Source organism: Homo sapiens, chromosome 5 (assembly GCF_000001405.40).
Source record: "Homo sapiens chromosome 5, GRCh38.p14 Primary Assembly".
Classification (NCBI taxonomy): domain Eukaryota; kingdom Metazoa; phylum Chordata; class Mammalia; order Primates; family Hominidae; genus Homo; species Homo sapiens.
Window position 1 is genome coordinate 141,162,204 of NC_000005.10, and position 24,577 is coordinate 141,186,780.

Consider the following 24,577-nt stretch of genomic DNA (forward strand, 5'->3'; position numbering starts at 1 on the left):
CAGTGTATGAGGGTTCCAATTTGTCTACATCCTCACCAACACTTATTTTTTGTTATTATAGCCATCTTAGAAGGTGTGAAGTAGTATCCTATTATGGTTTGAATTGCATTTCCCAAATGACTAATCATGTTATATTTCTTTTCATATGCTTATTGTTCATTTGAGTATCTTCTTTAAAGAAATGTATACTCAAATTCTTTGCCAGTTATCTAATTTTTTAATATTTTAATTGTTGAATGTTAGTAGTTCTTTATATGTTCTGGATACTAGACTCTTATCAGATACATGATTTACAAATACTTTCTGCCATTCTGTGAGTTGTGTTTTCACTTTATTGGTAGTGTCCTCTGAAGTAAAAAAGATTTTTTAAAATTTTGATGAAGCCCAATTATGTATCGTTTTCTTTTTTTTGAGACAGAATCTCGCTCTGTCGCCCAGACTGGAGTGCAGTGGTGCAATCTCAGCTCACTGCAACCTCTGCCTCTTGGGTTCAAGTGATTCTCCTGCCTCAGCCTCCCAAGTAGCTGGGATTACAGGCGCCTGCCACCACGCCTGGCTGATTTTTTGTATTTTTAGTAGAGATGAGGTTTCACCATGTTGGCCAGGCTGGTCTCAAACTCCTGACCTCAGGTGATCCACCCGTCTCAGCCTTCCAAAGTGCTGGGATTACAGGCGTGAGCCACCGTGCCCGGTGTATTTTTTCCTTTTATAAAATAAGGCACTTAAAAGCTGATAAACATTGTATGTTTGGGTGGGACTAGTTGAGTGGTGGACCTCACCTTAGGGTAATGAAACAGGAAACATTTGGAGACAAAAGGTCAATATCTGTAAGTCTTCTCTCTTGGGCTCACATTGTTCTTCAGAGAGAAATTCAGTAAGGATGGGTAGGATGGAAGTTATTATAAACTTGACACCTAGCACTTTGTAAGCTCCTTGGTTTGAGAGAAAGTGTCTTAATTTTTTTTAACCCACTTTCTCACTAAGATCTCAGTCCTGCCCTAAGTTGTGCTCATGTCCTTCAGTCCAGAGCCCTTCCTATTAAACCACTATGGATATTACACCTCCTATTTTCTGCCATGATGAGAAAAGGGAAAGTGCCTTGCTTCGCTGAGTAGGAAAGGAATTCTCAGATATAAGTACTCCTTATATAGATCTTCAGCCAATGTTATTTTTAGCCTCTCCCTGGGTCCTCAGTCTGGATTATTACTATGGCTACATTTGATTTTCTTATTAATTTTCCTCCTTTTCATTTGAGAGCAACAAGAAAAAAGAAAAAAAAAGAAAACTGTCAGTTACCAATTGTCTGTGTGCTTTGCATCTTCCAAAATTTTTGTGACTTCTCTCCCCTGCGATTTATTCTTCTCCATTATTTTTGTCTTTATAGCTTTGTTTATTTTAAACCCTTGCCCTCTATCATTTACATAAAGTTTCAGGAAAAAATTGAGAAACACTAGTGTGCTCAAACTAGAGTAAAATACAGTCCTTACTGTCAGTCATATTGTGCTAGTTTTCCTGTACCTGAATCATTTATGTTGTTTTATCTCGATTTGCTTGATTTCATCAGATGTCAGTCTTTAGATAAGAGTTCATAGGTGCTGTATTTTTTCACATGCTTGAGAAATACAATTTAGCTGGGTATAAAATTTTTCAATGGACTTTCTTTTCATCAAAGATTTGTTGACATTAAATATAACATTAGTTCTTCTATCATAGTTTCTACAGTCATCTATAAGTCACTTGATTTTTATCCTTAAGTAGTATTTTTTTCAAAAAGAATTCATCAGTACTAGCACAAGGGTTAATGAATTCTTTCCTGTTTGCTGCATTGTTGTCTTTGTACTTGAGCAACAGCTTGGCTATGTGTAAAATAATTGAGCCATAATTTATTTCCCTCAGAATCTTGTAGACATTTCCATTCTGTTTTGGTATTAAATGTTGCTCAGGGAAATACTGAAGCCTGTTTGCTTCACCTGTAGGTAACTTGTTTTCTATCCTTGAAATTCATTATCTTTATCAGATTATGTCTTGATTATGGTAATTACACATTACTTTTCCCTGGAACTCAGCGTGCCTTTTCAATCTGTTCATGCAGATATTTTCAAGTATATCATTTATTTATTTATATATGGTAAGTATATTTTGTTTTAAAATCTGCCTTATAGTTCTAATATCTGAAGTTTGTGTGGGCCTATGCCTACTCTATTTTGTTTCTGCTCCTTCTCATTCATGATGTCTTTGTTTCTTTGTAGGATGTGCATGGTTGATTGCCCTTGAAAATTTATTTGTAGGGTATCTACAAAGCCTAGGTTGCACATGTTCCAACTATCAAAATGGATTTTCATTTGTTTCAGCCAGGATATTGGAAACACTATCAATAGTGGACTATCACAAATTAATTAAATGGCTTGAGGTTCCTTGCATCTCAACCTATGTATATTCAAAATACAAATACACAAGAGGGCCACGTGCAGTGGTGTGGGCCTGTAGTCCCAGCTACTCAGGAGGTTGAGGTGGGAAGATCACTTGAGCTCAGGAGTTCTATACCCACCTAGGCAGTAGGGTAAGACCCCATCTCAATACACACACACAAACACACACACACACACACACACAATATGTAGGTACAACTTCCCAGGCATGTTTTTTTTTTCTTTTTCTTCTTCTCTGCTTAAAATCAGGGAGACTTCTATATAATTCCCTGGAGTTAGAGGCTGAGGGCAGGTTTAGATTTGCTGGTGTTTACACTGTATTTACATTATGGATGTATCCCTGAGTGGTCCCTTAATATGAAGAGGATCTTTCTATAATATGCTGCAACTGTGGTTACACCTGAGCCTTGATTTATATTTCTTTAATCCCACAGCTTCAGATCAAAGCCTGAGTACAAATATTTTTAAATGCCCTGAGAGCATAAGAAGTTTTGTTGTTCTGATACTCTGTTTACCCCTCTCTTACAGGCTTCCATAAAAATTGGGCTTTTTCTGCCATTTTCTACTATGTTTTTGACTCTTCATTAGTTTTGAAGTTTTTCTTAAGTTTTGTCCATTATATTTTGTTTTCCTTAGGAGGGTCATATGAATTATTGATACTATCGTTTTCAGAAATGACAAGCTCTGTCTATTGTTTATTCAACCTGAAGATTCAGTTTTTCCACCATTTCAATTATATATTAATTAGGCTATTTTTCCTTTGAATCCATTGAATCCAGTGTTTCATCAACTGAGTACGGAGTACTCAGACAAATCAATAATCTCCCCTCTCCACTAGACAGTACTCTCTTCACAAAGAGGGCTCTTTATCTTATGGGCTTAGACAAATATATACACAGCCATTCATTGCTTAATAGCAGAAATACATTCTGAAAGCTGTGTCATTAGGCAATTTCATTATTGCTCCAACATCATAGAGTGTACTTACACAAATCCAGATAACGTAGCCTACTATACACACCTGGGATACCCAGTATAGCCTATTGTTCCTAGGCTGCAAACCTGTATATCATGTTACTCTACTGACTACTGTAGACAATTATAACACAATGGTTAGTGTTTGTGTATCTAAACATAGAACAGATAATGCATTGCACTATGACATTACTATAGGTATGGCATCACTAGGCAATAAAAATTTTTCAGCTCCATTATGATCTTACAGGACCACCATTGTATATGCCATCCATGGTTGACCAAATGTCGTTATGCAGCACGTGGCTGTATTGAAATAAATATAGGTGAATGAGTGTTGAATAAAGCAATAAATAAATTTCAGTCTGTTATTTTATCTGGCTTAGTAAGCCTAAACATGATAACAAAATATTTTATTTCTTTTTTATAAAATGCCCATTTATTATTTACAGTATTTGATACTTGCTTTGTTCACCTAACAATATGTCATTTAAAATATGTGACCCAGCTTTCATTTTTTAAAATTTATAACATGATGTTGAGCCCTTTCTTATTTCTTTACAAATAACACATTTTTAAAACAAATTTTGACTTATTGTGTTACACATGAAGGGAGGATGAAAGATTTTTATTCGCCTTCAGACCATGTTCTGCTTTTTAAAAAAGATATACATCAAATTTATCAAACACTTTTATCCTTAGTCTCTCACGAGTACATCTGAAATTTTTTATTCTCCCCTATTCTTAAACTAAGTTGTGTTAGATTAAGGGACTAGTGCCTTAAAGCCTTGATGATTTTATGTTTTACAGTTTTTTTCTTTTACAAACTCTAATCGAGAGGCCCCTATTACTTATAATTTGAGTGAAGGAATAAAATTTTGAATTTGGATGAATTATTCAGAGTTCAGGACAAAAAACCAACAACCACTCTGTGTGTCTCTAACCAAAACCAAAAAAGATATCAGCTACAAGGACTTAGATGCTTATATAAAATCACTGGAAGAAATGGACAAGCAGAAGTAAGAGAGTCAGCACTGAAATGGTTTTGAAGGCATGTGACCACAGCTGCAGCACAGGAATCAGGAAGCTGATGCTACTACTACTACCAAAACTGTTGCTCCCACAGTGCCCTCTCCCACCTCCAAAACTGATGGCTGCACACTGGCACAGAGTGTCTGGATGCCACAGTGGTCTCCAGTTCCCTAAGAAGGTGATGGCTAGACAGAGGAATGCTGACTTGGCTGCAAGCATTCATATCTTTCTGACCTTATTGGTGAACAGTGGAAGACCACCTTTGCCTGTATTCTAAGGCTCACGTGAAGGAATCTCATTGGCAAAACCTAATTTACATCCAGAATAATAATTCTAAGAAGTCTGGAAAATGGAGTTTTAAGCTTTCTAGACCCTGAATTTTTAAAAAATTTATAAAATGAAGTAGGAATGGATGGCATATTACAATAGCACACTGGGGAAACATTGTTCAAAAGGCCTTGTCCTAGCACTTGAATTAATTTCTCTACTGCTTCCTGGGCTTAGCTTTCAGTGGAACAATAATTCTTTTGGCTACAAGCCACACTGCCAATATGGAGAGAGACAGTCGTATGTTCCTTTAATAACTGCTCTGAATTGGATAACTTTTTTGACCCTATCTGTTCCTAGTGGGCAGTTGGGGCAATAGGTCAGGTCTAAGTGGGTGTGATATAGATGGCTACTTTAACCCAAATATACATTCTCCCCTTATTTATACATCTGATTTTAGCTGCTTATGTACGTATGTGAGCTATGGATTATATTCTTCAACCTCTCTTGCAGCCAGGTGTCATCTTGTAACTAAATTGTAGACCGTGAGATAAAAGCACAAGTGCCATGGAGTACCTTATGGAGATAATCTTTTTAAAAAATGAAAGCACACCCTTTCCTTCCTCTTTTTGTTGGCATGAATGCGGATGTAATGACTGCTTATTAGGCAGCTACATTGGACAATGAAGTAAAGGCCATGTCCTGAAGATAGCAAATCAATGATGGAATGAGACTGGGTCCCAGATATCATGGAGTGCATTTTCAGCCACTAGCCTTCTTTTATATTTTGTTTAAGTCACTGTTATTATGGCTTTATCTGTAACTTCAAGCTAAATTGATATAGAACATAGATCTATAAGTTATATAGAATATAATTCTAGCTGATATAAGAAGTTTCTTTAATAAAGTGATATTTAAGGTAAGAGTATAAGGGTAAATAGAGAAAAATGTAAGACTTACATGCATATTTTAGAAATCAAGGTTTATTGAGAAAAAAGGGACAAAGTAAATGACTCAAGAATCAAAACAAGAATTTTTAAAAATAAGGAAAATAAGAGGAATGAATTAAAAATATAAAAGCAAAAATTGATTAAATAGAATAAAACCACATAATATTTGACCAATTAAACAAAAAGTGATTTCTTTGAAAAAGCCAAGGATATTTTAGGTTCTATATATAATTGATGTAGGAGACATGCACCTTTCATTTGGCTCCCTCTAAAAATGCACTAAGAAAACATGAACATATATTTTCAGAAACATAAACTTAATAAGGATGAAGAGAATAATGTAGAAGACAACAGGGAAAACTCTTAGAAGCTGGAAAACAGATGAATGATTTAGTAGACCTGACAAATCAACTACCAGTCATGAAGTGGGAAGAGCTGAGAATCGATCCTGTTCAGACTGTGGGACTAGAATAAATTCTGTTTAGATGGTGGGACATATAGAGGCATCTGAAATGTCAATCCTAGTTCCTCATGCCAAATAAGAAGGATTGTGTTAAAGATTCCTGTAAAGCAGTTAAATCTCTAGCAGTTAGATCACATTTCCCCATTCCAGTCACTGAGTAACCTACCTACCCCCTTGACCCTAACATAAGTCTGGAGTTTTATTTTCTGAAGAGCGCAAAAAGGAGGGTTATTATATGAGAGGTTCTGCCAACAAAATGGAGGTCATGGGTAATATGGGTAGCAAAAGTAAGTAACCATCTAAATATTGAATTCTGGTTGATTGTTAAAATGCTGTGATAGTCATTTGAACCAATCACAAATATTTTGGTTCTCCCCTTCTTGGACATATGGTAGAATTTCAATTCTATTTCTGTTTAAAATTATGTGTAGCCATGTAATTTCCTTTGGCTAATAAAATGTGAGAAGTGACATATATCCATTCTGGGCTGAAGTTTTTGGAGGCACGGTTTAACACATTTTCTTTTCCCACTACAGTGATCACGGAAGTATATGTGAAGATGGAATCTCCACAAGTTTAGATCCTTGACTGACTGCTGTGAGGAGGGCCCCAGGCTGAACTATATAGGATATATAGTATAAGAAAGAAATCAACTTTCTTTCTTTTTTTTTTTTTTTTTTTTGAGACGGAGTCTCGCTCCGTCCAGGCTGGAGTGCAGTGGCACGATCTCGGCTCACTGCAAGCTCCACCTCCCCGGTTCACACCATTCTCCGGCCTCAGCCTCCCAAGTAGCTGGGACTACAGGCGCCCGCCACCACACCTGGCTAGTTTTTTGTATTTTTAGTAGAGACGGGATTTCACTGTGTTAGCCAGGATGGAAGAAATCAACTTTCATTGTGTTAAGCTGTTGAGATTTGGGCAAGTTGTTTGGTATTGAAACATAATTTAGCCTATCCTGATGCAAAACTGTACTCCTCTTCACCCACTTAATCCTTCACCTTTTTCAATCTATATCTTTTCCTTTTGGATAGGGGATTTCAAAGAGTGTGGTAATCTGGCCAGTCCAACCGGAAAGACCTAATCACACTGACACTGAGGTTTCCCCATCCATCAGTGCTCCCAGTTCACTTTAGAATGAAAAATCAAGGTGGACAAGAATTATCAAACTACTCAGAGCCATCACTCAGCTCTGTAGTCTCCCAAACTAAATTAAGAACAAACACGTGAAGAAAGTTTCTGAAAAGGCATACAGAAGTTAAAGAAAAGCAAAGAGTAAAAAGGTAACTTGGAGAAAATGGAAAGTCTGCAGCAAGAAGAAAACTTGGTGGAAAAGCGATTATTAATATCATCAGATGAAAAAAGAAGTTATTGCATCTAAGAAATAAGCCCAAAAGAGAGCTCTTTAAATAGAAGAGACAAGTCTAGGAAAATACTAACCTAATAAAGAAATAAAAATCTCAATATAAGGGCTCGAAGATAAAGTTCAGAAAATGTTCTAGAAAATACTGCAAAAATATTTTACAATGGCAAGTAGGAGAGAAAAAAAATAAAGAAATTAGAGAACCATACCAGAAGTCTAACATCTGAATTACAGAAATTCTAAAAATGAAATGGGAGTTGGATTATAAATGAAATAGTTTAAAGAGATTTCTAAGAGCAGGAGAAAATTAGTTTTCTAGATGAAATGTCTCATCAATTATACTGTGCAATGGATGGAAAATAACCCCAAACCAAAACATACAATTGTTTAATTTTAAAGTGCTTGGGACAATGAAAAAACACTATAACAAAAAATAAAAATATAGGTCACATATGGAAGATAAGAAATAAGATTAGCTTTAGACTTCTTTGCAAACAGATTGGTTTGGAAAGCTCATTGACAAAACAAAAATTCAGAAGAAAAATTATTTTCAACCTAAAACTCTATATTTAGTCAAACTACTAATCAAGTTTGAGGGTAGAATAAAGACATCTTAGTACATTTAAGATCACAAAAACATTTAACTCTGAAACACCCTTCTCCGAAAACTACTGGAAGGTATCTATCAAAATGAGAACCTAATTCAAGACAGGAGAAGACAGAAGAAACAGAAACTAGAAGATCCAAAACAGGACAGAAGTGAAATGAATCTCCAGGTGATGCTGAAGGATGATCCAAGGATGACAACTGAGCATAATGAACAACTAGTCCAGTAAGGAGCTGTTTGACTCAAGAGACAGAGATTTTGAAGGATATCATTAGCAATCCTCTTAACATTGTATCATCTTTTCAATCATATGAACCTATTGGAGGATGTGTTCTAGTAATGCCATAGAGTAAACTGAAAAAGGGCAAGTTATAAAATCCCAGAAATAGCAAACACATCCAGAATAAAAGGCAAAGAATTCCAAGAATGACAGCAAAGAAAAAAATCCAGAATGATAGCTGTGCAGTAGGCACAGAAAGCAACCACCCAATTTAAAGAAAAATTGAAGTCTCAGGAGGAATGGAAATGACTATGGGGAAAATTGCACTGACAGGCAATTGTATCTGTGGGATGAATAAGTGATAGGGATAAAAAAAATCAAGTAAATGAAAAGGCAAGATAATTATTAAAATCACAAAAAAATTGAAAAAGAAAACATAATTAATACACAATAATGTTCCCAATATATGGTAAGTAAAAGAAAATCTAAAATACCTAAAATGTAATCTAACATAATAAACAGTCAATTGATAATTTCTAAAATTAATTAATCAAAATATATCAGAAAACAGATTAGTGACTGAAGAGATAACTAAAAGAGTTTTAAAATGGCTACCTCTTAGAAGGGGAACTAAGAAAAGTGAGGAGGAAAAGGGCAGAACAAGCCTCTTAGTGCTATTTAATTTTGGACCAAGGTCATATATTATTTTGAAAAAAATGCATTTCAAAATATCAGTAAAGTAGAGCTCTTGCAAGTCTCACCAAGAATAAAAAGGAGTTAAAATGCTAAACATCACTAATAAAAATAGGGATACAATTAAAGGTAAATAACGCAATGAAAACAATTCCAAGAAATTTGCAAACTAGATAAAATGATTTTCAAAATAAAATGCAAGTTACTTAAAAATACAAAACCTGAACAGATTAATAACCAAAGGTAAAATGTAAATGGTAGTCACTGATCTACTGCAAGTGAAGTCACCAAACCCAACCAGTTTAAAAGACAAGCTGGAATTAAGCATGTAGAAACATATAATAATATAATTATTAAAACTATTGTATAAAATAGATAAAAAGCTCCCTAACACATTCTATGATGCCAGTATAATAGTTTAATACCAAGGCCATAAAAGGCAAACACGCACTAGGTAAACAACATTAACTAGAAAAATCCTAAAACCATGTTGACACATCATATCTATCTGTGCACTAAAACAATAATACATTATGGTTAAATGTCATTTATATCAATAACTCAGTAATTTAGAAACTAAAGAATAAATGTATTATTTCAACAGCTATCAAAAATCACTTCAAAATATGAAAGAATAAAAAGAAAACTTTATTGATTCAAAAAAGGAATATTTACCCCAAATTGAGATCAACCATCATAGTTGAAGATGAAATGCTAGAAGCACTTCCACAAATGCAAGATTGACCAACTTGCTACTACTAATTTTAAGAGTATTCATTGGACATTGGAGATTCTAGTCACTGAAATTATAGAGGAACAATAATTTCTTATGTAATACTTAAATCAGGTGAAGGATGAAGGTTGGGTTTGGGGGAGGCATAAAGTGTTCCAAGAAATATCACAGGTAAAGAGTTAAGACCTGGAAAGTGGAATAATTGTTTAATTCACAAGAAATTGGGAAAAGGGTCAATTATTCTGCCATATTCACATTATTATTGTTAAATACTTTACAAATAAATAAAATGTCCCCAACCAATATTTGTTGACTTCAAGGAGGAGGTTTCATTTTCTCATATATATTTTTACTATCCATTTTTAAAATAGGAGATTTTCTTAGGATTTCGGTGGGGAGTCAGAGTTTAGTTTCATGCTCCTAGATTTAAGAAGACTATAAATTAATTCTTCTACGAATCCAGATTATCACAGGGGAAAACGACATCAGCTATTACTTACTAGCATTACTGTGACCATTTGAGGATAAAGATGGAATGAAACAGCAAAGATACCGGGGACAAATCATTCTTGTTGCAGAATTCCTTCAATCCGCCATCTTTTTGTTCTAGTCTTGATAACGGGAATAACATCCACAAAACGCAAGGTGGCGCTGCTGGCTAAAAAGAGAGAGAGAAAAATAATTTCACAAAGAAAGGATGTTACAGATTCCAGAGCAAAGAGGCAATCTGAAGAGAAAAGCATAGGAAAGGAAACAGTGGTAATAGGAATTGGGGTAAAATGAGGATCCTTCCCCACAAACATTGCTATTATTCAGCTCATTTCAAAGGATTCCGCTGCTGCCATTTGTGAGAGCCGCTGGAGGCTGAGTGAAAGTCATTTTGAAAGACTGATCCAAAGAAGAATGGAGGCCAGAGTGGAGCGTGCTGTGCAGAAAAGGCAAGTCTTATTTCTTTGTGTATTTCTGGGAATGTCTTGGGCTGGCGCCGAACCGCTTCGGTATTTTGTGGCGGAGGAAACCGAGAGAGGCACCTTTCTTACCAACTTGGCAAAAGACCTAGGGTTAGGGGTAGGGGAACTGAGAGCCCGGGGAACTAGAATTGTTTCAGACCAGAACATGCAAATTTTACTGCTCAGTTCGCTTACTGGTGATCTACTTCTAAATGAGAAATTGGACCGAGAGGAACTGTGTGGCCCCAGAGAGCCCTGTGTGCTGCCTTTCCAGTTGTTATTGGAAAAACCTTTTCAGATTTTCCGTGCTGAACTATGGGTCAGAGACATCAATGATCACGCTCCAGTATTTCTAGACAGAGAGATTTCCTTGAAAATATTAGAAAGTACCACTCCAGGGGCGGCATTTCTCCTAGAGAGTGCACAGGATTCAGATGTTGGAACCAACAGCCTGAGTAACTACACCATCAGCCCCAATGCCTATTTCCATATTAATGTCCATGATAGCGGGGAGGGGAATATCTATCCCGAATTGGTGCTGAATCAAGTGCTGGATCGGGAAGAGATACCAGAGTTCAGTTTAACCCTCACCGCTTTAGACGGCGGCTCTCCTCCAAGATCAGGGACCGCCCTCGTGCGCATTCTGGTTCTAGACGTAAATGACAACGCCCCTGATTTTGTGCGGTCGCTCTACAAGGTGCAGGTGCCCGAAAATAGCCCCGTTGGTTCCATGGTTGTCTCCGTGTCAGCCAGAGATTTAGATACCGGAAGTAATGGGGAAATAGCCTATGCATTTTCTTACGCCACTGAAAGAATTCTCAAAACGTTTCAAATCAATCCAACATCTGGCAGTCTTCATCTTAAAGCGCAATTGGACTATGAGGCAATTCAAACTTACACATTAACTATTCAGGCCAAAGACGGCGGCGGGCTTTCTGGAAAATGCACTGTAGTGGTTGATGTAACAGATATAAACGATAATCGACCCGAGCTGCTCCTGTCTTCACTTACTAGCCCAATTGCAGAAAACTCACCCGAGACAGTCGTGGCTGTTTTTAGGATTAGAGACAGAGATTCCGGGAACAATGGAAAGACAGTGTGCTCCATCCAGGACGATGTCCCCTTCATCCTGAAGCCATCTGTCGAAAACTTCTATACTCTGGTAACAGAGAAACCTTTGGATCGAGAGAGGAACACTGAGTACAACATCACCATCACCGTCACCGACTTGGGGACACCCAGGCTGAAAACCGAGCACAACATAACCGTGCTGGTCTCCGACGTCAATGACAACGCTCCCGCCTTCACCCAAACCTCCTACACCCTGTTTGTCCGTGAGAACAACAGCCCCGCCCTGCCCATCGGCAGTGTCAGCGCCACAGACAGAGACTCGGGCACCAACGCCCAGGTCATCTACTCCCTGCTGCCGTCCCAGGACCCGCACCTGCCCCTCGCCTCCCTGGTCTCCATCAACGCGGACAACGGCCACCTGTTTGCCCTCAGGTCCCTGGACTACGAGGCCCTGCAGGCGTTCGAGTTCCGCGTGGGCGCCACAGACCGCGGCTCCCCCGCGCTGAGCAGCGAGGCGCTGGTGCGCGTGCTGGTGCTGGACGCCAACGACAACTCGCCCTTCGTGCTGTACCCGCTGCAGAACAGCTCCGCGCCCTGCACCGAGCCGTTGCCCCGGGCGGCCGAGCCGGGCTACCTGGTGACCAAGGTGGTGGCGGTGGACGGCGACTCGGGCCAGAACGCCTGGCTGTCGTACCAGCTGCTCAAGGCCACGGAGCCCGGGCTATTCGGCGTGTGGGCGCACAATGGCGAGGTGCGTACCGCCAGGCTGCTGAGCGAGCGCGACGCAGCCAAGCAGAGGCTGGTGGTGCTGGTCAAGGACAATGGCGAGCCTCCGCGCTCGGCCACCGCCACGCTGCACGTGCTCCTGGTGGACGGCTTCTCCCAGCCCTACCTGCGGCTCCCGGAGGCGGCCCCGGACCAGGCCAACTCGCTCACCGTCTACCTGGTGGTGGCGTTGGCCTCGGTGTCTTCGCTCTTCCTCCTCTCGGTGCTCCTGTTCGTGGCGGTGCGGCTGTGCAGGAGGAGCAGGGCGGCCCCGGTGGGTCGCTGCTCGGTGCCTGAGGGCCCCTTTCCACGACATCTGGTGGACTTGAGCGGCACCGGGACCCTATCCCAGAGCTACCAGTATGAGGTGTGCCTGACTGGAGGCTCCGGGACAAATGAGTTCAAGTTTCTGAAACCAATTATCCCCAACCTGCTACCCCAGAGCACAGGCAGGGAAGTGGAAGAAAATCGCCCATTTCAGAATAATTTGGGTTTCTGATAAAGAATGTAAACTAAATCCGCGTCTGTGAATACGTTTCTGATTAGGAACTTATTGCGAGGTTCCCTTAAGGGAGTGTCTTTACATCATTTCAAATATGTACTCTTGAAGTCAAGCAATAAATTTCTATACATAAAATAGGATCCTGATTTAGTATCAAGAACCCTTCACAAAGCATGAAATGTATATGTGTAATGTTTTATGTCAAACAATTATGCTTAATATACAGTCTATTAAATGTAAGTCTTGTTTGAGATATTTTAAATTGCTTTCCATTGTTTTCAATCTCTACTGAGACTTCCTGAGTTGATTAGAAAGCTGTATGAGTGTACCTACCCTAGTCTCAGAAGCATAGACTGTAGAGTATCTTTTTAAGCATTTTTAAAAAATGCTTTTAATGCATCATACACTATTTTAACACTTTTAATCTGAGAAGAAGCATATGAGGCATGGTATTTTAGGAATGAACAAATAGATGGTCTTAGAGATTCAGTAAGTTCACTAAGTTCCACTAACTAATAAGTGACAAAACTGAGCATCCATCCCAGATCTGTCTGACTCTGGGTCAGTGACCCTGCTCCGATTCCATACTGTTTTCTGTCATTAGATATCACCTGGCAAGTTTCTGCCTAATTAAGGAGAAGTCTTTTATCATATTTATACTGCTGTCCAATCTTTTCTATATTTAGAAATAATAATGTACATATTTATCTATGGTTTTATTTTCTTATACACCAAAAGTCCTGCTTTTCTGGGTCAATTTTCAACTATTATTACTAATGCTCTGATCTGTCCAAACTCAAGCGGAAAACAAAATTGAAAGGGCAACCTGTGCCTTCTCCTTTCTTCAGAACATATGACTTTCATTTCCCAGAAAAAAGATTAATGGTCCTGAGTAGGAATATTACATAATTTTGATTGCATCATTAGTTAATTATTTTCTTCATATTGTAGATTTTCTGCAGTCACCCATACTTAACATTTGTAATACATTTTCCTGATTTGAAAGTTTGTTTTTAAAAGTTTTCTATTAATTATAGTGCACTATTGAATCAGGAAAATTTAAGAAAAAGAATAGTTAGTTTTAAATGCATAATATCAAAGAGAATCATAGATGATCATTAAATTTTTAGAAATTCTCGGAAGTTAAGGAGAAGCACTGTTTTTTATAAAAATTTACAACTGATTTTTATTTTTAAAATATCTAGATAATTTTTGCATGGTTGCATTCTGAAAATATTATAAACTAGTGCTGGTAACTCTAATAAAGGTAGTATTACTATATATCACTGGTGGGATAGAATCTAGAGGCAAAAAAACCTCACAGCAGTAAAATCTTAAAATGCTTTCATGGTCTTAGGGTAAAATTATCTAATTTCTCCAACAAATAAATAGCATGAAAAACAGGAGGAGAGAAGTCTACAGTAGGAAAGATCTTACGAGATCTACCAATCAAACGTAATGTGTGGATCTTGTCTGGATCTTCATTCAAACATCAGCAATGACTTTGAAACACTTGGAAGAGTTTGAATATAGATGGGTATTAAGTAATATTAACTGAATTTTTTAGGTATAATAATGGCATTGTACTTAAGGGTATTTTTAGAGTCACTTAAAGTTATTATGCATTTAAAGAAATGTACAATGAAGTATTTGTGGGTGAAAATTCAGTTTGTCTGGAACGTAAAGATGTTGGAGGGATAGCGTCAAGAATTATGGCAAGACATTGATAATAGTTGATGCTAGTACTGAGTAATTGCAGGTTAATTTTACTCCTCTCCTTTTATGAGATATGAAAAATATCAAAATAAAAGCTTTTTAAAATTGATGCTATTAGAAGAGAAATAGAGGTAACAAAAAAGGACACGCTTCCCCAGAAATAAAATCACCACTGCTGTTACACATTTTGTCTCTATTTAGACAAGCTCTCCAGCCTTTCCCTGTTTACCTTCACTGTTTGACATAACTTCTCTACCTGAGATAGTCATGTTCCTGTACTATTCTACCATGTAATTTTGAGGTGTTTTTCTAGTTATAGCAATGGATTTATGCAGAGTCACCTACCTGGTGGTATCAAATTGCCATATACCGGGTACATAGTTTATTTTTAAGCTTAATCTCTCTTTGAATCAGTTTCCTCATGTGTAAGGTGGGGAAATCACAACAGCCCTATGTGGTAGGTGCTATTATTATCCTCATTTTACAGATGAGGAAATTAAAGCAGAGAGATTAAATAATTTGTTCGAGGTTCACAGCTACTAATTATTCCTATGGTTCATGGAAATAAAACTATAAAGATCTAAATGTTGCCCATGTTAACTACTATTATATTTGAAATTCTTTTTGCCAAGCTAGACTGTTACCTAAATATTTCCTTTTTGCCCAAAACTCAGTTAGCATTGTTGAAAGACTAACGCAATTTCTCCTTCGGGCAGTTGTCTGCTCAGTAACGTCCGGCGATATTAACCGTGGTGTTGTAACTTTACATAGTCCCAGGGTACATACAGGCAGAGTTGGGAATATTACATCTATTATCATCCCACAAAATGTAAGATCCTGTGAGGACCCGTGGTGGCGCTGCAGGATAAGAAGGCACAAACCAGAACCGCAGCTGCAGCTCCATTAACCGGCAAAAAGCAGCAGAACCTGGAAGTCCACGGGGAGCTTGGATGCCAAAGGGAGGACGGCTGGGTCCTCTGGAGAGGACTACTCACTGGCATATTTCTGAGGTATCTGTAGAAAACCACAGCCTCAGATACTGGGGACTTTACAGTCCCACAGAACCGTCCTCCCAGGAAGCTGAATTCAGCAAGAACAATGGAGGCCAGCGGGAAGCTCATTTGCAGACAAAGGCAAGTCCTTTTTTCCTTTCTCCTTTTGGGCTTATCTCTGGCGGGCGCGGCGGAACCTAGAAGCTATTCTGTGGTGGAGGAAACTGAGGGCAGCTCCTTTGTCACCAATTTAGCAAAGGACCTGGGTCTGGAGCAGAGGGAATTCTCCAGGCGGGGGGTTAGGGTTGTTTCCAGAGGGAACAAACTACATTTGCAGCTCAATCAGGAGACCGCGGATTTGTTGCTAAATGAGAAATTGGACCGTGAGGATCTGTGCGGTCACACAGAGCCCTGTGTGCTACGTTTCCAAGTGTTGCTAGAGAGTCCCTTCGAGTTTTTTCAAGCTGAGCTGCAAGTAATAGACATAAACGACCACTCTCCAGTATTTCTGGACAAACAAATGTTGGTGAAAGTATCAGAGAGCAGTCCTCCTGGGACTGCGTTTCCTCTGAAGAATGCTGAAGACTTAGATATAGGCCAAAACAATATTGAGAACTATATAATCAGCCCCAACTCCTATTTTCGGGTCCTCACCCGCAAACGCAGTGATGGCAGGAAATACCCAGAGCTGGTGCTGGACAAAGCGCTGGACCGAGAGGAAGAAGCTGAGCTCAGGTTAACACTCACAGCACTGGATGGTGGCTCTCCGCCCAGATCTGGCACTGCTCAGGTCTACATTGAAGTTGTCGATGTCAATGATAATGCCCCTGAATTTGAGCAGCCTTTCTATAGGGTGCAGATCTCTGAGGACAGTCCAATAAGCTTCCTGGTTGTGAAGGTCTCTGCCACGGATGTAGACACAGGAGTCAACGGAGAGATTTCCTATTCACTTTTCCAAGCTTCAGATGAGATAAGCAAAACTTTTAAGGTCGATTTCTTGACAGGAGAAATTCGACTAAAGAAACAACTTGATTTCGAAAAATTTCAGTCCTATGAAGTCAATATCGAGGCGAGAGATGCTGGAGGCTTTTCTGGAAAATGCACCGTTCTGATTCAAGTGATAGATGTGAACGACCATGCCCCAGAAGTTACCATGTCTGCATTTACCAGCCCAATACCTGAGAATGCGCCTGAAACTGTGGTTGCACTTTTCAGTGTTTCAGACCTTGATTCAGGAGAAAATGGGAAAATAAGTTGCTCCATTCAGGAGGATCTACCCTTCCTCCTGAAATCTTCTGTGGGGAACTTTTACACCCTACTAACAGAGACACCACTAGACAGAGAAAGCAGAGCCGAGTACAACGTCACTATCACCGTCACTGACTTAGGGACACCCAGGCTGACAACACATCTCAATATGACCGTGCTGGTGTCGGACGTCAATGACAACGCCCCCGCCTTCACCCAAACCTCCTACACCCTGTTCGTCCGCGAGAACAACAGCCCCGCCCTGCACATCGGCAGCGTCAGCGCCACAGACAGAGACTCGGGCACCAACGCCCAGGTCACCTACTCGCTGCTGCCGCCCCAGGATCCGCACCTGCCCCTCGCCTCCCTGGTCTCCATCAACACAGACAACGGCCACCTGTTCGCCCTCAGGTCGCTGGACTACGAGGCCCTGCAGGCGTTCGAGTTCCGGGTGGGCGCTTCAGACCGCGGCTCCCCGGCTTTGAGCAGCGAGGCGCTGGTGCGCGTGCTGGTGCTGGACGCCAACGACAACTCGCCCTTCGTGCTGTACCCGCTGCAGAATGGCTCCGCGCCCTGCACCGAGCTGGTGCCCCGGGCGGCCGAGCCGGGCTACCTGGTGACCAAGGTGGTGGCGGTGGACGGCGACTCGGGCCAGAACGCCTGGCTGTCGTACCAGCTGCTCAAGGCCACGGAGCCCGGGCTGTTCGGTGTGTGGGCGCACAATGGCGAGGTGCGCACCGCCAGGCTGCTGAGCGAGCGCGACGCGGCCAAGCAGAGGCTGGTGGTGCTGGTCAAGGACAATGGCGAGCCTCCGTGCTCGGCCACCGCCACGCTGCACGTGCTCCTGGTGGACGGCTTCTCCCAGCCCTACCTGCCGCTTCCGGAGGCTGCCCCAGCCCAGGGCCAGGCCGACTCTCTCACCGTCTACCTGGTGGTGGCGTTGGCCTCGGTGTCTTCGCTCTTCCTCTTCTCGGTGCTCCTGTTCGTGGCGGTGCTGCTGTGTAGGAGGAGCAGGGCGGCCTCGGTGGGTCGCTGCTCAGTGCCTGAGGGCCCCTTTCCAGGGCATCTGGTGGACGTGAGGGGCACCGGGAGCCTGTCTCAGAACTATCAGTACGAGGTGTGCCTGGCAGGAGGCTCAGGGACGAATGAGTTCCAGCTCCTGAAACCAGTATTACCTAATATTCAGGGCCATTCTTTTGGGCCAGAAATGGAACAAAACTCTAACTTTAGGAATGGCTTTGGTTTCAGCCTTCAGTTAAAGTAATTGATTTCATATTATATATTTTAATTTTTATGATCAATTCAAAGGAATGGTTTTCTGTCAACTTAGCATAAATTTTAAATTACACTACATTTGCCCATAGTATTTGTCTTGTTTTCACTGTTTTAAAAAATGATATCTCATCTTCTCTTCATTAGTATATCCAGTGGACTCTAATCATAATTCTTTAACAGTGCAATTTTTGTTAAAATGTACATAGTAAAATGCACAGATCTGAAGTGAAGAAATTAATGTAACTGATCTTTTTAAGCCTTTATTTTTTGATTTCTAATCTAGGTAAAATTTAGTTAAAAGTGGTGTAGAGAATGTTTTACATTTATTGCCTTTTAAATGTTTCCCCAAGTCCTAAGGGAGTTGACATATTATCCCCTTTTTTAAATATGAGAAAACTGAGGCTTAGAAAGGTAACTTGGCTGTGAGCTGTGGCTCACACCTGTAATCATAACACTTTGAGAGGCTGAGGCAAGCTGAACCCTTTGAGCTCAGTAGTTCGAGACCAGCCTGGGCAATGGGGCAAAACACTGACACTAACAAAAATACAAAAATTAGCCAGGTGTGATTGCGAACCTGTAGTCCCAGCTACTCAGGAGGCTGAGGTAAGAGGATCCCCTGAGCCCAGGAGACAGAGACTACAGTGAGCCAAGATTGTGCCATTGCACTCCAGGCTGGGTGACAGAGTGAGACCTCATTCCCCCCCACAAAAAACGATTAACTTTCTTATAATTCTGAAATAATAAAGGTAAAAATTTAAAATATAATCTAAGTCTAGCCAATATGCTATATGGTCAGGCATTAACTGATAGCATTGTTTTTCTAACTAAGGAAGTGAAATTTATGTTATTCCTACTCCTACTCCATGAACTAAACTCTCATGTGAAAATATAAGTTTTAGTTTATAGTTTGTTTATACTACTCTGCACAAATATACCCATGTTCTTATCAAAGCTCTAAGTATGCTGGGACAGATACTACAAATGAACTTTATGATGAGCGAATTAACCTGATTTATAGTCCTGTACTTTCTCTACGTGCCATATCCATTATTAAAGAAATGAGTCTAAGTAGGAAGTAGAGTTAACCTATAGTTTCATTTCTTGAATTTCTTATTCTCTTTCTTCAGTCTTTTTCAGTTAACCTACACACACACACACACACACACACACACACACACACACACACATATGTTTATAAGTGGGATGGGAGAACGGGTACGGTGATAATTAAAAGAGGTAAGGTTTCTCTTGAGATGAAAATGTTCTAAAATTGTGATGGCGGATGCACACCTCTGAATATATTAAAAGCCATTGAAATGAAAAAAGGGTGGGGGGAATCCAAAAGTGTAGCAGACCCAACCTTGAGATTTGCTTGTTTGGGAATGAATTTTCCAATAACTTGAAAGTTGTAAAAACTCACACTTCTCAGGGTTAGGTGTCAGAAAGAAAAGGAAGTAATTTATTCTTTAATAAAGCAATTGTTAAATACTCTTTAGAACTACCACTGATTGCAATTTTGCAGTGTCTACTCATAGTGTCTATATAGGTACCATGAAAAAGATGTACTTGTGAAACTGTTCTCATGTTACTTCAGAAAAATTTTGCTTCTAAGTGTGTATTCTATGTCTGGTTAAATGTTCATTGAATTTTATTTAATCATTAATCTCAACAGCATTAAACAGTCAATAACATAAATGACAGTCTTCTCTTTGTACTCCTCCCTGTACAACATCACAGAGCTCCATCTGTATACACGAAAGTCACATGAAAATAGAACTCAGTGTTTTGTATTACATAGTCTATTCAGTACATTTAGAAGTATTTTGCCTCCAATATTCAACCACAGTAAAAGACTCAGTGAGAACGCGTGGTGGCGCTGCAGGTTAAGATGACGGAAAATACAACTGCCTACGCAGCTCCAGGATCCAGCAAACCGTTTCCCAAAGCCTGGAAGCAGAAGAATAGCTGAGCCAGAGCGAACGTGAGTGTGAAACCTCTTTAAGACACCGTTGGGCTGCTTGGTTCTGACATTCTGGACTGCAAAACAGTTCTACTAGGATCCTGGGGATACATGAAGCTTCTGTGAACCAACTTTTCAAGAAAAAGCAATGGAGATTGGATGGATGCACAATCGGAGACAAAGGCAAGTCCTTGTTTTCTTTGTTTTGCTGAGCTTGTCTGGGGCGGGCGCCGAGTTGGGGTCCTATTCCGTAGTGGAAGAAACGGAGAGAGGCTCTTTTGTGGCAAATCTAGGAAAAGACCTGGGGTTGGGGTTGACAGAGATGTCCACCCGCAAGGCCAGGATCATTTCCCAGGGGAACAAACAGCATTTGCAGCTCAAGGCTCAAACTGGGGATTTGCTCATAAATGAGAAGCTAGATCGAGAGGAGCTATGCGGTCCCACTGAGCCTTGCATACTACATTTCCAAGTGTTAATGGAAAACCCTTTAGAAATATTTCAGGCTGAACTGAGGGTGATAGATATAAATGACCATTCTCCCATGTTCACTGAAAAGGAAATGATTCTAAAAATACCGGAAAACAGTCCTCTAGGAACTGAGTTCCCTCTGAATCATGCTTTGGACTTGGACGTAGGAAGCAATAATGTTCAAAACTATAAAATCAGCCCAAGCTCTCATTTCCGGGTTCTAATCCATGAATTCAGAGATGGCAGGAAATACCCTGAGCTAGTGTTGGATAAAGAGCTGGATCGGGAGGAGGAGCCTCAACTAAGATTAACCCTGACAGCGCTGGATGGTGGCTCTCCACCGCGATCTGGAACTGCTCAGGTCCGTATTGAAGTGGTGGACATCAATGATAACGCTCCTGAGTTTGAGCAGCCCATCTACAAAGTGCAGATTCCAGAGAACAGTCCTCTTGGCTCCCTGGTTGCCACCGTCTCCGCCAGGGATTTAGACGGCGGAGCCAATGGAAAAATATCATACACACTCTTTCAGCCTTCGGAGGATATTAGTAAAACTTTGGAGGTAAATCCTATGACAGGGGAAGTTCGACTGAGAAAGCAAGTAGATTTCGAAATGGTTACGTCTTATGAAGTGCGCATCAAAGCCACAGATGGGGGAGGTCTTTCAGGAAAGTGCACTCTTCTCCTGCAGGTGGTGGACGTGAATGACAATCCCCCACAGGTGACCATGTCTGCACTCACCAGCCCCATCCCAGAGAACTCGCCTGAGATAGTAGTTGCTGTTTTCAGCGTTTCAGATCCTGACTCCGGAAACAATGGGAAGACGATTTCCTCCATCCAGGAAGACCTTCCCTTTCTTCTAAAACCTTCAGTCAAGAACTTTTACACCTTGGTAACGGAGAGAGCACTCGACAGAGAAGCAAGAGCTGAATATAATATCACCCTCACCGTCACAGATATGGGGACTCCAAGGCTGAAAACGGAGCACAACATAACAGTGCAGATATCAGATGTCAATGATAACGCCCCCACTTTCACCCAAACCTCCTACACCCTGTTCGTCCGCGAGAACAACAGCCCCGCCCTGCACATCGGCAGCGTCAGCGCCACAGACAGAGACTCGGGCACCAACGCCCAGGTCACCTACTCGCTGCTGCCGCCCCAAGACCCGCACCTGCCCCTCGCCTCCCTGGTCTCCATCAACGCGGACAACGGCCACCTGTTCGCCCTCAGGTCGCTGGACTACGAGGCCCTGCAGGCTTTCGAGTTCCGCGTGGGCGCCACAGACCGCGGCTCCCCCGCGCTGAGCAGAGAGGCGCTGGTGCGCGTGCTGGTGCTGGACGCCAACGACAACTCGCCCTTCGTGCTGTACCCGCTGCAGAACGGCTCCGCGCCCTGCACTGAGCTGGTGCCCCGGGCGGCCGAGCCGGGCTACCTGGTGACCAAGGTGGTGGCGGTGGACGGCGACTCGGGCCAGAATGCCTGGCTGTCGTACCAGCTGCTCAAGGCCACGGAGCCCGGGCTGTTCGGTGTGTGGGCGCACAATGGCGAGGTGCGCACCGCCAGGCTGCTGAGCGAGCGCGACGCAGCCAAGCAGAGGCTGGTGGTGCTGGTCAAGGACAATGGCGAGCCTCCGCGCTCGGCCACCGCCACGCTGCACGTGCTCCTGGTGGACGGCTTCTCCCAGCCCTTCCTGCCGCTCCCAGAGGCGGCCCCCGGCCAGACCCAGGCCAACTCGCTCACTGTCTACCTGGTGGTGGCGTTGGCCTCGGTGTCGTCGCTCTTCCTCTTTTCGGTGCTCCTGTTCGTGGCGGTGCGGCTGTGCAGGAGGAGCAGGGCGGCCTCGGTGGGCCGCTGCTCGATGCCTGAGGGCCCCTTTCCAGGGCGTCTGGTGGACGTAAGCGGCACCGGGACCCTGTCCCAGAGCTACCAATACGAGGTGTGTCTGACAGGAGGCTCAGAAACAAGTGAGTTCAAGTTCCTGAAGCCGATTATCCCCAACTTCTCTCCTTAGGGCACTAGGAAAGAAATAGATTAAAATTCCACCCTTCACAATAGCTTTGGATTTAATTATTGATAGGAACCCATTTGATAAATTCCTTAACTTCTTATGATTGTCTTGTTGATTAAATTGTTCATGCTCACCACCACCAATAAGGTATTTTTCTCTGATTGTTAGTTCAAATTATATTGTTAATTCCAGTTTCCCTTTTCCTCATATTTACCCCGAAGAGGTGTTGCATATAGAATCCCAATTAACAAAATATACTTTATCTTCAAAGTTGATGTCATTTAAAATTTTTCCGTCTTTATATTTTATTTACTTCCTATTCATTTTTTGCTCCATTTTTCATGTTACTTCTCAGTTTCCTAGAACTTCAAGTATTAAAATAACCTGTTGCATGTATTAGGCATATTTCCTATGTTACATTTCTTTTGTCTATTTTCCTTTCAAAATTGGTATTTTTGTTGGGCTCAATTTTCATTATAATACTTTTCTTAAAGTTTCTTTCTTTCTTTTCTTTTCTTTCTTTTTTTTTTTTTCCTTTTTGAGACAGGGTCTTACTCTTGTCACCCAGGCTGGAGTGCAGTGGTACAATCTTGGCTCACTGCAACCTCTGCCTCCTGGGCCCAACGGATCCTTCCACCTCAGCCTCCCAAGTAGCTTGGACTATAGGTGCATGCCACCATGCCTGGCTAATCTTTTGCAGCGATGGGATTTTGCCAAGTTGCCCAGGCTGATCTTGAACTCCTGGGCTCAAGCCATCCTCCCTCCTCAGCCTCCCAAAATTCTGGGATTACAGGCATAAGCCAATGTGCCCATCCAAAGTTTTATTTATTTATTTTTTTGAGATGGAGTCTCGTAAAGTTACCTTTAAAAAAAAAGTTCTATTTTCCCTGTATTGGTATCTCCTTAAATAAAATAAAATATTCCTATTGTAAGTGATATGAGAAATCTTTAACCAGCCTTATCTAAAAATAAAAAGAGAAGCCATTGTAAGACATTCAGTATGTGTAAATGTGTTTGTGTTTGTAGACAAAAGGCAAAGGTATTATGTAAAAATATTTAATAATTTATTCTTTCTATTACTGAATTAAAAAATCAGAGGTCCCTGTTATATTTTTAATGGCTAACAACTCAATCTCATTAAGTTGGAAAAAAAACTTATCAAAGAGACATTTACATGGTTTGGCTTTTATATTCATCATAGTATACATTGGCGGTATCTAGCCCTTTCTCTGTAAAATATCCCTATGTTTAATCTGTATTTCTTGCTTATTATATGTAAAGTTGAGCTTCTTTCTAGATATTAGGCCTTTGAATAAAATTCTATGTGAGTCAGATTTAATAATTTGTTTTCACTTTCAATAGTGTTAGGATAGGTGTTAGTTTGATCTGTTCTTTACCTCCGCTTATTTGGTTCAGAGAAATTAGGGCCTACTAGATTTCCACTAAAAGGGACTTGAAAATAAAGGTCAGTCCCTTCTTTAATTCTGCAAGTTACTTTAAAGCTAATCTAAGAAAAAAAAAAAACAAATTGCAAAGTATGAGTAAATTAAAGAAAACAATTTTCAAATGGCAGAGATCGAAAGGCACTGAATTTTGTTTCATGTCCTACTCACTAGTTTATTTATGCATGCCTTAATATAGCCAGCATTTAGTGAGTGGCTAATTTGCCAACCAAAGATGACTAAGACATAGTTGTTCTCAAGTAGTTCACACATTGATGAAGGGGCAAACTGGCCTGAAACAAGAAGCAATAATATTTATAGAGTAAACATAGTTGTATGCGTAAGTTTTAGAGAAGCACAATGGAAAGACAGCCTAATGCTTGGTTCTGGACTACAGAGCGGTGATTCTAGTTAGGCAATCTGAGATCTTGAAGACATTTGTTGAAGAAGA

The 24,577-nt window shown here is 40.9% G+C and overlaps 3 protein-coding genes and 1 further gene across 3 annotated transcripts, besides 1 other annotated feature; all 4 read left to right on the top strand.

Annotated features, from left to right (window-relative positions):
* The window catches only part of PCDHB@ (protocadherin beta cluster), a 197,972-nt gene that overhangs the window by 110,810 nt on the left and 62,585 nt on the right, over positions 1-24,577 (top strand).
* PCDHB7 (protocadherin beta 7) lies at positions 10,441-14,180 on the top strand. Its single transcript, NM_018940.4, has one exon. The coding sequence runs from the start codon at positions 10,633-10,635 to the stop codon at positions 13,012-13,014; it is 2,382 nt and encodes a 793-aa protein (NP_061763.1). The 5' UTR covers positions 10,441-10,632; the 3' UTR covers positions 13,015-14,180.
* Positions 12,411-13,041: an enhancer, noted in NCBI's record as "H3K27ac-H3K4me1 hESC enhancer chr5:140554195-140554825 (GRCh37/hg19 assembly coordinates)". NCBI's record gives its function as "activates a minimal SCP1, AML or CMV promoter by ChIP-STARR-seq in primed H9 embryonic stem cells {active_cell/tissue: H9 hESC(primed)}" and the evidence as "EXISTENCE:reporter gene assay evidence [ECO:0000049][PMID:30033119]".
* Positions 15,587-18,336, top strand: PCDHB8 (protocadherin beta 8). Its single transcript, NM_019120.5, has one exon. It carries the CDS (start codon positions 15,832-15,834, stop codon positions 18,235-18,237), a length of 2,406 nt encoding a protein of 801 aa, NP_061993.3. The 5' UTR covers positions 15,587-15,831; the 3' UTR covers positions 18,238-18,336.
* On the top strand, positions 20,184-24,023 carry PCDHB16 (protocadherin beta 16). Its single transcript, NM_020957.4, has one exon. It carries the CDS (start codon positions 20,357-20,359, stop codon positions 22,685-22,687), a length of 2,331 nt encoding a protein of 776 aa, NP_066008.2. The 5' UTR covers positions 20,184-20,356; the 3' UTR covers positions 22,688-24,023.